Here is a 15,450-nt window from a genome sequence, read left to right as displayed (position 1 = left end):
GGTCCTTGACCCTTGACCAGCCTAACTGGGAGACACCCCCCAGTAGGGGCAGACTGACACCTCACACGGCCGGGTACTCCTCTGAGACAAAACTTCCAGAGGAACGATCAGGCAGCAGCATTTGCGGTTCACCAAGATCCGCTGTTCTACAGCCACCACTGCTGATACCCAGGCAAACAGGGTCTGGAGTGGACCTCTAGCAAACTCCAACAGACCTGCAGCTGAGGGTCCTATCTGTTAGAAGGAAAACTAACAAACAGAAAGGACATCCACACCAAAAACCCATCTGTACATCACCATCATCAAAGACCAAAAGTAGATAAAACTACAAAGATGAGGAAAAAACAGAGCAGAAAAACTGGAAACTCTAAAAAGCAGCGTGTCTCTCCTCCTCCAAAGGAACGCAGTTCCTCACCAGCAATGGAACAAACCTGGATGGAGAATGACTTTGACGAGCTGAGAGAAGAAGGCTTCAGACGATCAAACTACTCCAAGCTACAGGAGGAAATTCAAACCAAAGGCAAAGAAGTTGAAAACTTTGAAAAAAACTTAGACAAATGTATAACTAGAATAACCAATACAGAGAAGTGCTTAAAGGAGCTGAAAGCCAAGGCTCGAGAACTACGTGAAGAATGCAGAAGCCTCAGGAGCCGATGCGATCAACTGGAAGAAACGGTTTCAGTGATGGAAGATGAAATGAATGAAATGAAGCAAGAAGGGAAGTTTAGAGAAAAAAGAATAAAAAGAAACGAACAAAGCCTCCAAGAAAAATGGGACTATGTGAAAAGACCAAATCTACATCTGAATGGTGTACCTGAAAGTGACGGGGAGAATGGAACCAAGTTGGCAAACACTCTGCAGGATATTATCCAGGAGAACTTCCCCAATCTAGCAAGGCAGGCCAACATTCAGATTCAGGAAATACAGAGAACGCCACAAAGATACTCCTCGAGAAGAGCAACTCCAAGACACATAATTGTCAGATTCACCAAAGTTGAAATGAAGGAAAAAATGTTAAGGGCAGCCACAGAGAAAGGTCGGGTTACCCACAAAGGGAAGCCCATCAGACTAACAGCTGATCTCTCGGCAGAAACTCTACGAGCCAGAAGAGAGTAGGGGCCAATATTCAACATTCTTAAAGAAAAGAATTTTCAACCCAGAATTTCATATCCAGCCAAACTAAGCTTCATAAGTGAAGGAGAAATAAAATACTTTACAGACAAGCAAATGCTGAGAGATTTTGTCACCACCAGGCCTGCCCTAAAAGAGCTCCTGAAGGAAGCACTAAACATGGAAAGGAACAACCAGTACCAGCCGCTGCAAAATCATGCCAAAATGTAAAGACCATCAAGACTAGGAAGAAACTGCATCAACTAAAGAGCAAAATAACCAGCTAACACCATAATGACAGGATCAAATTCACACATAACAATATTAACTTTCAATGTAAATGGACTAAACGCTCCAATTAAAAGACACAGACTGGCAAATTGGATAAAGAGTCAAGACCCATCAGTGTGCTGTATTCAGGACACCCATCTCACGTGCACAGACACACATAGGCTCAAAATAAAAGGATGGAGGAAGATCTACCAAGCAAATGGAAAACAAAAAAAGGCAGGGGTTGCAATCCTAGTCTCGGATAAAACAGACTTTAAACCAACAAAGATCAAAAGAGACAAAGAAGGCCATTACATAATGGTAAAGGGATCAATTCAGCAAGAAGAGCTAACTATCCTAAATATATATGCACCCAATACAGGAGCACCCAGATTCATAAAGCAAGTCCTGAGTGACCTACAAAGAGACTCAGACTCCCACACAATAATAATGGGAGACTTTAACACCCCACTGTCAACATTAGACAGATCAATGAGACAGAAAGTTAACAAGGATACCCAGGAATTGAACTCAGCTCTGCACCAAGCAGACCTAATAGATATCTACAGAACTCTCCACCCCAAATCAACAGAATATACATTATTCTCAGCACCACACCACACCTATTCCAAAATTGACCACATAGTTGGAAGTAAAGCTCTCCTCAGCAAATGTAAAAGAACAGAAATTATAACAAACTGTCTCTCAGACCACAGTGCAATCAAACTAGAACTCAGGATTAAGAAACTCACTCAAAACCACTCAACTACATGGAAACTGAACAACCTGCTCCTGAATGACTACTGGGTACATAACAAAATGAAGGCAGAAATAAAGATGTTCTTTGAAACCAACAAGAACAAAGACACAACATACCAGAATCTCTGGGACACATTCAAAGTAGTGTGTAGAGGGAAATTTATAGCACTAAATGCCCACAAGACAAAGCAGGAAAGATCCAAAATTGACACCCTAACATCACAATTAAAAGAACTAGAAAAGCAAGAGCAAACACATTCAAAAGCTAGCAGAAGGCAAGAAATAACTAAAATCAGAGCAGAACTGAAGGAAATAGAGACAAAAAAAAACTCTTCAAAAAATTAATGAATCCAGGAGCCGGTTTTTTGAAAGGATCAACAAAACTGATAGACCGCTAGCAAGACTAACAAAGAAAAAAAGAGGGAAGAATCAAATAGACACAATAAAAAATTATAAAGGGGATATCACCACCGATCTCACAGGAATACAAACTACCATCAGAGAATACTATAAACACCTCTACACAAATAAACTAGAAAATCTAGAAGAAATGGATAAATTCCTCGACACATACACTCTCCCAAGACTAAACCAGGAAGAAGTTGAATCTCTGAATAGACCAATAACAGGATCTGAAATTGTGGCAATAATCAACAGCTTACCAACCAAAAAGAGTCCAGGACCAGATGGATTCACAGCCGAATTCTACCAGAGGTACAAGGAGGAACTGGTACCATTCCTTCTGAAACTATTCCAATCAACAGAAAAAGAGGGAACCCTCCCTAACTCATTTTATGAGGCCAGCATCATCCTGATACCAAAGCCGGGCAGAGACACAACCAAAAAAGAGAATTAGAGACCAATATCCTTGATGAACATTGATGCAAAAATCCTCAATAAAATACTGGCAAACCAAATCCAGCAGCACATCAAAAAGCTTATCCACCATGATCAAGTGGGCTTCATCCCTGGGATGCAAGACCAGTTCAATATAAGCAAATCAATAAATGTAATCCAGCATATAAACAGAACCAAAGACAAAAACCACATGATTATCTCAGTAGATGCAGAAAAAGCCTTTGACAAAATTCAACAACACTTCATGCTAAAAACTCTCAATAAATTAGGTATTGATGGGACGTATCTCAAAATAATAAGAGCTATCTATGACAAACCAACAGCCAATATCATACTGAATGGGCAAAAACTGGAAGCATTCCCTTTGAAAACTGGCACAAGACAGGGATGCCCTCTCTCACCACTCCTATTCAACATAGTGTTGGAAGTTCTGGCCAGGGCAATTAGGCAGGAGAAGGAAATAAAGGGTATTCAATTAGGAAAAGAGGAAGTCAAATTGTCCCTGTTTGTAGATGACATGATTGTATATCTAGAAAACCCCATTGTCTCAGCCCAAAATCTCCTTAAGCTGATAAGCAACTTCGGCAAAGTCTCAGGATACAAAATCAATGTACAAAAATCACAAGCATTCTTATACACCAATAACAGACAAACAGAGAGCCAAATCATGAGTGAACTCCCATTCACAATTGCTTCAAAGAGAATAAAATACTTAGGAATCCAACTTACAAGGGACGTGAAGGACCTCTTCAAGGAGAACTACAAACCACTGCTCAATGAAATAAAAGAGGATACAAACAAATGGAAGAACATTCCATGCTCATGGGTAGGAACAATCAATACCGTGAAAATGGCCATACTGCCCAAGGTAATTTATAGATTCAATGCCATCCCCATCAAGCTACCAATGACTTTCTTCACAGAATTGGAAAAAACTACTTTAAAGTTCATAAGGAACCAAAAAAGAGCCCGAATCACCAAGTCAATCCTAAGCCAAAAGAACAAAGCTGGAGGCATCATGCTACCTGACTTCAAACTATACTACAAGGCTACAGTAACCAAAACAGCATGGTACTGGTACCAAAATAGAGATATAGATCAATGGAACAGAACAGAGCCCTCAGAAATAACGCCGCATATCTACAACTATCTGATCTTTGACAAATCTGAGATAAACAAGCAATGGGGAAAGGATTCCCTATTTAATAAATGGTGCTGGGAAAACTGGCTAGCCATATGTAGAAAGCTGAAACTGGATCCCTTCCTTACATCTTATAAAAAATTTAATTCAAGATGGACTAAAGACTTAAACGTTAGACCTAAAACCATAAAAACCCTAGAAGAAAACCTAGGCATTACCATTCAGGACATAGGCATGGGCAAGGACTTCATGTCTAAAACACCAAAAGCAATGGCAACAAAAGCCAAAATTGACAAATGGGATCTCATTAAACTAAAGAGCTTCTGCACAGCAAAAGAAACTACCATCAGAGTGAACAGGCAACCTACAAAATGGAAGAAAATTTTCGCAACCTACTCATCTGACAAAGAGCTAATATCCAGAATCTACAATGAACACAAACAAATTTACAAGAAAAAAACAAACAACCCCATCAAAAAGCAGGCAAAGGATATGAACAGACACTTCTCAAAAGAAGACATTTATGTAGCCAAAAGACACATGAAAAAATGCTCATCATCACTGGCCATCAGAGAAATGCAAATCAAAACTACAATGAGATACCATCTCATACCAGTTAGAATGGCGATCATTAAAAAGTCAGGAAACAACAGGTGCTGGAGAGGATGTGGAGAAATAGGAACACTTTTACACTGTTGGTGGGACTGTAAACTAGTTCAACCATTGTGGAAGTCAGTGTGGCAATTCCTCAGGGATCTAGAACTAGAAAAACCATTTGACCCAGCAATCCCATTACTGGGTATATACCCAAAGGACTATAAATCATGCTGCTGTAAAGACACATGCACACGTATGTTTATTGCGGCACTATTCACAATAGCAAAGACTTGGAACCAACCCAAATGTCCAACAATGATATAGTGGATTAAGAAAATGTGGCACATATACACCATGGAATACTATGCAGCCATAAAAAATGATGAGTTCACGTCCTTTGTAGGGACATGGATGAAATTGGAAATCATCATTCTCAGTAAACAATCACAAGGAGAAAACCAAACACCGCATGTTCTCACTCATAGATGGGAATTGAACAATGAGAACACATGGACACAGGAAGGGGAACATCACACTCTGGGGACTGTTGTGGGGTGGGGGGAGCGGGGAGGGACAGCATTAGGAGATATACCTAATGCTAAATGACGAGTTAATGGGTGCAGCACACCAGCATGGCACATGTATACATATGTAACTAACCTGCACATTGTGTACATGTACCCTAAAACTTAAAGTATAATTAAAAAAAAAAAACCATCGGACTTAATCTGCACTATAGAACACATGGACCTAATAGATATTAACAGGACATTTCATCCAATAACTGCAGAATATACATTTTTATCTTCAGCATGTGGATCATTCTCAAGTAGAGACCATATGTTCGGTCACAAAACAAGCCTTAAAACGTTCAAAAGCATGGAAATATCAGGCATCTTCTCTGACCACAAGGGAATAAAATTACAAATCAATAATGAGGAATTTTGGAAACTATACAAACACATGGAAATTAAACAATATACTCCTGAATGGCCAGTAAGGAAATTGAACATTTTATTGAAACAAATAATAATGGAAACACAACATGCCGAAACCTATGGGATACAGCAAAAGCAGTACTAAGAGGACAATTTATAGCTCTAAGTGCCTACATCAAAAAAGAAAAACCTTCAAATAAATAACCTAATGATGCATCTTAAAGAACTAGAAAAGCAAGAGCAAACCAAACCCAAAATTAGAAGAAAAGAAGTAATAAAGATCAGAGAATAAATGAATTTGAAAATTAAAAGGAAAAAAGAAATGAATTTGAAATGAAAACAATACAAAAGATCAATGAAACAAATGTCAGTTTCTTTGAAAAGATAAATAAAATTGACAAACCTTTAGCCAGACTAAGAAAAAAAGAAGACTCAAACGAAATCAGAGATGAAAAAGGAGACATTATTACTGATACCAAGAAATTCAAAGGATCATGAGTGGCTACTATGAAAAACTATATGCCAGCAAATTAAGAGTAAATGGGTCAATAAGTATCGTCAAATGAATAAATGATGCAATGGATTTACAAATATTAGTATGTTCATAAATTAATGTTATAGAAACTAAGAGGAAACAATTATTACAGCTTAGAATTATCTAACAAGACTTCATGAAAAGCTTTGAACTGAATATTAAATGAAGATAGGAAGAATTTTTAAAAAAGAGCAATAAAATTTTTCAAAATCTTCTTAAGTAAAATCTGCAAAAGGTCAAAACGAATTCTTGGCTGTTCCAACGTATGTAACTGTTACATCACATAACGAAAATGTATTTCTGCAGGAAAAAATTGAGGCTTACTGATTGACAAATCCATTCAACAAATGTATTAGCTTACTAAAGTCCTAGACCAAGTTGAAAATAAGAGGATAGCAAGGAGTTAGGGTACAAATACTTCATAATAGCAAGTTTTGGGGTCAAATCTCATTACAACATAATTACAATAAAAATCTCCACATAATTCACATTTATATAAATATTCACTCAACCAATACTTGAGCACCTGGTTACTGTGTTCCTTCAACAATCAAGGGTACAGATTAAGCCCTCTATTATTATAACATTTTAAAATAATTAAGTCAGTTAAACACTCAGTGGAGTTTATCTAACCAGGTTGTTGAATTTGAGTATTAGCACTGGAGATGAAACAGCAAGTAAACAGGCAAAACCTGAGCCCTCGCAGAGATTACATTCTAATGGATGGAAATGAATGATCAACAAGATAAACATGTAAAATATATGATATGCTAGATGACGTGTTAAGATGAAAAATAAAGAGAGAGGAAAATTTGAGGGTTATAAATTTATTTTATTTTATTCAGACAGTGTCTCACTCTGTCACCCAAGCTGGAGAGCAGTGGCACAATCATGGCTCATGGCAGCCTTGACCTCCTGGGCTTAGGTGAACCTCACATCTCAGCCTCCCAAGCTGGGAGTACAGGCGTGTACCACCACGTCTGGCTAGTTTTTTTGCATTTTTTGTAGAGATTGGGTTTTATCATGTTGCCCATGCTGGTCTCAAACTCCTGGACTCAAGCAATCTACCCGCCTCTGCCTCCCAAAGTGCTAGGATTATAGGCATGAGCCACTGCACTCGACTAGGGGGTTACAATTTTAAATTAGGCAGCCAGAGAAAGTCTCACTGAGTCACATCAAGATCTGGATGTCAGGGAGCAATCTGGGAATTCAGAGGAAGGTAGTTAAAAACAGAGGGACAGCAAGAACAAAGCACAGATTAAGGGAGGGAAAGAGTAGCAGATGATAGGAAAGGAGTTTCCAGGGGGGTCAGATTAGGGTCGGCCAACTGCCACTTATTTCCAGCAAAAATCAATACAACAAAATTTCAATACATTAAAAGAAACCTGATACCTCATCTAGAATTTGCTTTTAAAGAATCTAATCTGGCTAGGCGTGGTGGCTCATACCTGTAATCCTAGTACTCTGGGAGGCTGAGGCAGGAATATTGCTTGATCCCAGGAGTTCAAAACCAGCCTGGACAACATAGGAAGACCTTGTCTCTACAAAATAGTAAAAAATTAGCCAGGCATGGTGGTGTGTGTCTGTGGTCCCAGCTACTTGGGAGGCTGAGATGGGAGGCTTGTTTGAGCCTGAGGTCAAGGCCACAGTGAGCCACAATCAAGCCACCGCACTCCAGCCTGGGCTACAGAGCAAGACCCTGTTGCTTTTAAAAAAAAAAAAAAAGGCCAAGCACAGTGGCTCACGCCTGTAATCCTAGCACTTTGGGAGGCCAAGGCAGGCAGATCACCTGAGGTCAGGAGTTTGAGACCAGCCTGACCAATACGGTGAAACCCCGTCTCTATTGAAAATACACAATCTAGCCGGGTGTGGTGGTGTGCGCCTGTAGCCCCAGCAATGCAGGACGCTGAGACAGGACAACTGCTTGAACCTGGGCAGCAGAGGTTGCAGTAAGCTGAGATCGCACCATTGCACTCCAGCCTGGATGACAGAGCGAGACTCTGTCAAAAAAAAAAAAAAAAAAAAAAGAAGACGAAGAGGAGGAAGAGGAGGAGGAATCTAATCTGTAACACAAACTTAATTTGTTTCTATTTTCAAATTTGCTTTATGACAGATTTTAATAAGTTTTCTTAAATAAGAAGTATACTAAATGAAAGCAGTCCCTCCTAACTCCTAAGGAAGCCCCAAATTTCACACAGAAACCACTCTATGATCTACACAATGACAAAATGCATATAATACTATAATGCAACTTACTTCTAACTCCTTTCAACAGCCTGCTGAAAATATTTCACTAATCCTAAATTTATTTGCCTTTTCTCCAAAAAGCTACAGAAACAAAGATTTTTGCTGCAAGCATCTCACAGGATCTGAATGTTCCAAAGATCAACTGTGATTCTGCTGTCTGCACACTGAGAGGTCATTGCTTTGGACCTGGTATCATGAAGGCTCTCTTGAAGTTATCTTCAGTTCATCTGCTTGTTGCTGTGACTTTGTTTGGATATGCAGAATCAAGAGTATTACTGTACTCTTGATTGGCTTCACATCAAAATTAAAGCAATGACAGTTGATGATTTGTATGTGCTTTCTGATGAGGTGTTTCTGAGAAGTGGGTGTCCTGTAACCAAAGTGTGGCAAGATTTGTATACGTTTTTGTACTCTACAAGTGACGGTGGCATCATATATCAGGGTAAAAGGGTAGGTTATTTTTAGATCTATGCTAATATTCACCTCTAGAACATTACCAAGGCGAGGATTCATATGTATCTCATGCGCTGTTGAGTGAGATGGGTCTTCATGGCAACGTGCAATTTCATTTATCCATCCAAGGCAGGCCAAATCACTGGCTTCGTCCACTTACCAAGACTACTGCTGAAACACTATCAAGTGCTTGAAATCATGTTTCAAAGCTTAAAATGTATTTTTCTTATTTATCCACCAAGATTGATGGGGTCAAGGAAGTACCTAACATTGGATCACTGCACATCCTATGCCTCATTTTTCTTCAATGAGAAACAGAAGGTGAGCTATGTAATGTGATATACAGAGCAACTGCAGCTGCCTGAGGACTTAGAAACAAGAGGCCTAAACTATAGCAATCCTGACAATGGCAGAGTTCTTACTGATACCATGTGTTTGTATTAATATGCAACTTTAATGAAGCAGACATTTCTTTTTATGACTCCTTTTGCAAAACTTTTTAAATTATATTGGAATCATATTCAATACATAATCTTTATTCTGCTAATGGGAATTATTTTTTATAAAGATCAATTGATACATTTTTTAAAAAGATTTGTTCAGAGTAAATAAGCATGAAATGTAAGCCTTAAAACTTTTTTTTCTTCTTAAGATCTGGTGTCACCCAGGCTGGAGTGCAGTGGCATTATCACAGCTACTGCAGCCTTGACCTCCCCAGGCTCGGGTGATCCTCCCACCTCAGCCTCCAGCTGGGACTACAGGTGCGTGTCACCATGCCTGACTTTTTTGTTTTTTGTAGAGATGGGACAAGATGTTGTCTAGGCTGGTCTCGAACTCCTGGGCTCAAGCAATGCTCCTACCTTGGCCTCCTCACGCTGGGATTACAGGCATAAGCTACCGCACCCAGCCTAAAACTTTTTTTTTTAATCATCAGGGTAGAATTAGTATATATAAGCAAACAATAAAGTGTTCAGATGAAAAATCATGAAGGATATAGATTAAGCCCTGTATTATTAAAACATTTTAAAATGATTAAGTCAGTTAAACACTCAATAGAGTTTATCTAACCAGGTTGTTGAATTTATAAAAACTTTTAAACAGGCTAGGTAATCTTATGAGGTAAAGTGCAGGTTGCAACATTCAAACTAAAAATGGGATGAGTTCAGATTACTCCAGTGGTTCTCAAATTGTAGTCCACAGACTCGCGGGAATCCACATCTTAGTATGTATGCCCTTTTCACCATGTTGACAACTGTAGTGAAAGCACAATAGCAATGATGGGTAGAACTGCTTGCACCTTAGCAATAATCAAGGCAGCAATACCAAACTATACTGGTAGTCTTATTCTTCACTGCCATGCACTCTCAGTTGTTCTAAAACGTCAGTTTCACTTGACTGATGAAGCAATAAAAATTATTAACTTTGTTAAATCTCAACTCGAGTAAAGTCTTTTTAATATTCTGTGTGACAAAATGGAAATATGAAGAAGGCACTTCTACTGCATACCAAAGTGTGACGGTATGCAAACTCACCCCTTTTTCCATGTAACTACTGTTGCTTCAAAGAACAGAGGGCATTAAAACAGAGCACAAATAGCAGGAGAGTCAAAGAAGAGGAGCTAAGTAGGATACAAGATATGCTTCCAATCCTCCAATAATTGATGACACAGTCTAGAAGACAAATTTGCTGTTATTATTTATATGCCCATCTCTTCAATGATTGTTCTGACAATTTCAATCACTTTGCCACGTTCTAGGAACTATGCTGATCACTATTGAATTGAACCTGAAATAGTAAACTTTTCTGTCAGAAGAATCCAGAGTTCTAAGCCAATGGTTCTAAACTCTTAACAGCAAAACCTCTATTAACAGCAGAATCCCAATAGGAGCTCACAGAAAAGTGCTCTGATTGAAGCAGCATATAGAAAAGTTCAGATACATACATCCCATAAATTTGCCTTCTATCTCCCATTTACCTATTCTCAGTGGTGATTCTGCGGGCCATCTAATTCAATCATATTTTCCCCCAGGTCTCAACTGATTTATTCTGTTCCCTTCTATATACACACACATGCATGTATACACACAAAACTCCCTCACAGACTGTTCAGGGGTCCTATTATCCTTCCCCTTCCTTTTCTCTAATTCATATTGAAAGATCTCAATGAGGCCCCTCCACCAAACCACTTGCCTTTTTCTAGTGATCTCTTTCTTTCTTGTCTAATTACACTGATAGTTCCTCTGAAAATGGTGAAGGTGGACATTTTCTTTTGTTTCTGACTTTAATAAAAATTCTTTCAGTATTTCACCACTAAGTCTGATATGAGTTTTTTATTATATTTATATAATTAAAAACAAGAAAGGCAGTGGGGTCCCTTAACATTATTGTTACTATTGTTCAATACCAGCCTACTCTTATTTTCTGGATTTTTTTTTATTGTGGTAAAATACACATATTTACCATTTTAGCTATTTTTAAAAGTGTGCAATTTGGTGGCATTAAATATGTCCACACAGTTGTGCAACCATTACCTCCAACCATCTTCAGAAATTTTTCATCTTCCCAAACTGAAACTCTCTACCTATTAAACACTGATCCCCATCTCCCCTTCCCCATAGCTTCTGACAGACACCATTCTGCTTTGTCTCTACAAACTTCCCAATCATATTATTTTACTGCTAAGAATCTCAAATCCTGAAAGGCTGAGTCACTTTTCCAAGATCACCCAGCTGATTACTGGCAGATAAAAGCCAAAAGCAAGTGCTTACTTAGAAAGGAAAGCAGCAATCATCTATAGCCAAATAGCTTCATTTCCTTTTCTGCCTCAATGCCTTGTTAGCCTTGGTCTAGTGCATGTCTGCAAAGGATGGATGGATGGATGGATGGATGGACGGATGGACGGACGGACAAAGATATATACTCATTGTCAGCTGGGCGCAGACAGATGTATAAAGATATATATTCATTGTTGGCTCGGTGCAAACAGATAGATAGATAGATAGATGTATAAAGATATATACTCATTGTCGGCTTGGCGCAGTGGCTCCTGCCTGTAATCCCAACACTTTGGGAGTCCGAGGCGGGTGGATTACTTGAGGTGAGGAGTTCAAGACCAGACTGGCCAACGTGTTAAAAGCCCATCTCTGCTAAAAATACAAAAATTAGCTGGACGTGGTGGTGCATGCCTGTAATCCCAACTACTCAAGAAGCTGAGGCAGGAGAATCACTTGAACCTGGGAGGCAGAGGTTGCAGTGAGCCGAGATCATGCCACTGCACTCCAGCCTGGGCTACAGAATGAGACCCCATCTTAAAAAACAAACAAACAAAAAAGATATATACTCATTGTCTTTTAAGCAATAAATGTAGAAATTCAGTCTGGGCAACATGGTGAAAACCCGTCTCTACAAAAAAAAAAAAAAAAATTAGCTAGGTGTGGTGGTGCGCATCTATAGTCCCAGCTACTGGGGAGACCAAGGTGGGAAGATGGCTTGAGCCTAGGAGGCGGGGGTTGCAGTGAGCAGTGATTGAGCCACTACGCTCCAGCCTGGGCAACAGTGAGACCCTGTCTTAAAAAAAAGGTAGAAATTTGGGTCATATTCAATATGGTCAATTTTTAACAGGCTGAATAGTGTTGACCATAAATATCTACCCATCTGAAAGCACATCACCAATTGCATGGCCTAGAGCTTGATTCTTGGTCTTATCGTATTTAACTTTTTTTTTTTTAATAATTTAGATGAGGTCTCACTATGTTGCCCACGCTGGTCTTAAACTCCTGGGCTCAAGTGATCCTCCCGAAGTCCTGGGATTACAGATGTGAGCCACCGTGCCTGGTCCTGTTTAACATTTTTATTAATGATTTGGATGTGGCCATTTATGGCACAATAATGAAATATGTGATGGATATAAAGAAAAGTATGACAGCTGAATCTGCTGGATCAAAGAATCAGTATTCGAAAGATCTAACCAAATTAGAATGTTAGAATACTAAACTAAATCATCTCTAACAGACCTAAACTAAAAGAAAATTAATAAATAAAAATAAAATAGGTCAGCACCATTTTGCTGGAGCCTGCAACCAAGTGGGAGTGGAGTGGAGCGGCCTTTGTTGCCAACTCTTTCCTCTCTCCCACAGTTTGGTCAGCAGGTTGATTAGGCCATTGGCCCTCGAGCCAAGACTTGTCTCATATTTAGTTCTGGGGAGCACCTCATAGACATGAGTGATGTAGAGGAGAACAACTTCAAGGGCATAGTTAATGTTCATGAAGAAACTGAAGAGTTTTTTCCAAAAATGTTGAAGATAAATCAAGGTAAAAGAAGGCTAATGGAAAGTATTAAGGATCAGAAAGTTAAAATTGAATGGGGGAAAAAACTGAACAGAAGATTGGTCGGATAGAAGCACTTGAATTTTTTTAAGGCTATTTTGAATTGTTTGAATTGGGGAAGAATACGCAAAGTACAAAAAGTGAAAAACTCAAGAATGAAGAGAAGTAGAAAGCAAGAGTGAAGTAGAATTAAAAGAATCTGGAAGAATAAATGGGTCCTAAGTAAATGAGTCTTCACTCTCAGTCAAAATCTCCAACAGGAACTCCTGCTTGTGTAAAATTGGAGAGATGGTCAGGATCTCGTAGTCCTTCAAGGGTTTTCAAACACTCTGAATCCCATTCTCGATCAAGATCAAAATGTCAAGGAGGCATTCTCATCGACGTTACACACTTGATCCAGATCCCACTCTTGATCCAGATACCACTCTCACAGGAGACGAAGTAGCTCATATACACCAGAATACTGGCAGTGAAGGAGCCGAAGTCATTCTCCAATGTCTAACCAGAGAAGACACACTGGCAGAAGGGCAAATCCAGATCCCAACACTTGCCTTAGAGTGTTTGGCCTTAGTTTGTACACAACAGACAGAGATCTTCGTGAAGTATGTTCTTGATATGGACCTTTGAATGGTGCCAATGTGGTTTACAACCAGCAAACTGGGCGATCTCAAGGATTTGCTTTTGTGCATTTTTAGGGAATAGATGACTCAAAGGAGGCTATGGTAAGGGCAAACAGAAAGGAGCTGGATGATAGAAGAAATTCGGGTGGATTATTCTATTACCAAGACAATGCGCACACCTATACCAGGCATCTATATGGGCAGAACTCATAGTGGTGGTGGCGGAGGTGGTGGCAAAGGCGGCAGTGGAGGTGGTCACAGACGTCGAGATTCTTACTATGATAGAGGATATCATCGTGGATATGACAGATATGAAGACTATGATTACCGGTACAGAAGATGATCACCTTCTCCTTATTATAGTCGATACAGATCACAATCAAGATCTCATTCCTGCAGCCCAAGACACTATTGATAATGAAATGGTTGCAATGAAGGACATTTTTTTCCTCTTTATTTTCTTTTTCCTCTCCTTTTTTTTTTTTAATTCTGGATGTCCCTAAGCTTCTGATTCTTCCTAGTCTTTAAGAAAAAAAAATTTTTGGTTTATTTAGTATCTACATTATACTCCTAAAGATGTAATTGTTGTCATTTTGAGTAAACATCTTGAGTATAAAAGCAACCCTAGTGTTATACTCCGTAAACTTTTTTTTTTTTTGCTTTTACTAACATAAACTCCTAGCTAATCAAATAAGAAATTACCTTTTTAAAGCTTCTTTTGTGTTAGATATTGTATTAGAGATCTGCATTTATGAAGAACTCCTTTTTAAACTTTCTTTTGAGGAAGACAGTAACACATAAATTAGTTCAGTCATGTCATGTTTGGGGTGGCATGGAACAGTCAAGTAGTTAGGTGCAGAAAGTTTGAAGCTATAAAAGAAAATACTTGGACATTTCTTTTGAAGAATGGAATTTTTGAGCCCTAAAAATTAAGTCATTTTTTAGAGATAAAAAGCTTGCAGACTCCTATGAAAGATGTATTTAAAATACATCTCTTAAAACTTTGGCTAGGCACAGTGGCTCACACCGGTAATCCTAGCACTTTGGGAGGCTGAGGCAGGCGGATTGCCTGAGCTCAAGAGTTCAAGACCAGCCTGGGCAACATAGCAAAACCCTGTCTCTACTAAAAATACAAAAAATTAGCTGGGCGTGGTAGTGCGTGCTTGCTGTCCCAGCTACTCAGGAGGCTGAGGCAGGAGAATCGCTTGAACCCAGGAGGCGGAGGTTGCAGTGAGCTGAGATTGCGCCACTGCACTCCAGCCTGGGTGATAGAGCAAGACTCTGTCTCCAAAAAAAAATAAAATAAAATACATCTGTCAAAACTTAAAAACTAAAGTGTGATTTCTTTGTTAAATTTATTGAAGTTTAAGTATTCCCTTAATCAGTGAAGGACAACCCTTATTTATTACCTAGAGCAACTATATAATTTGCTGTTAGAAATTTTGGTATTGGAACTATGGATAAGCAGGTTATCATATAGTATAGAATCCTTAGAAGATACATGTGGGGAAAAGTAGTCTCCTTTCAAATAAAAGTTAATTTATTTGAAAAAATAAAATAAAAAGACCCAAACTACTGAATTGTCTGTCACAGAAA

At 38.9% G+C, this 15,450-nt stretch overlaps 1 protein-coding gene and 1 pseudogene across 2 annotated transcripts in view; one reads left to right on the top strand and one right to left on the bottom strand.

Annotated features, from left to right (window-relative positions):
• ZFYVE9 (zinc finger FYVE-type containing 9) overlaps positions 1-15,450 on the bottom strand; it is a 204,546-nt gene that overhangs the window by 170,185 nt on the left and 18,911 nt on the right. The gene's annotated exons all lie outside the window — the stretch shown is intronic.
• Positions 12,969-15,405, top strand: LOC724060 (TRA2A pseudogene; annotated as a pseudogene).

This window comes from Homo sapiens, chromosome 1, assembly GCF_000001405.40.
Source record: "Homo sapiens chromosome 1, GRCh38.p14 Primary Assembly".
Classification (NCBI taxonomy): Eukaryota; Metazoa; Chordata; class Mammalia; order Primates; family Hominidae; genus Homo; species Homo sapiens.
The sequence above is the reverse complement of the archived record's forward strand: the minus strand, read 5'-3'. Positions and strand labels throughout refer to the sequence as shown.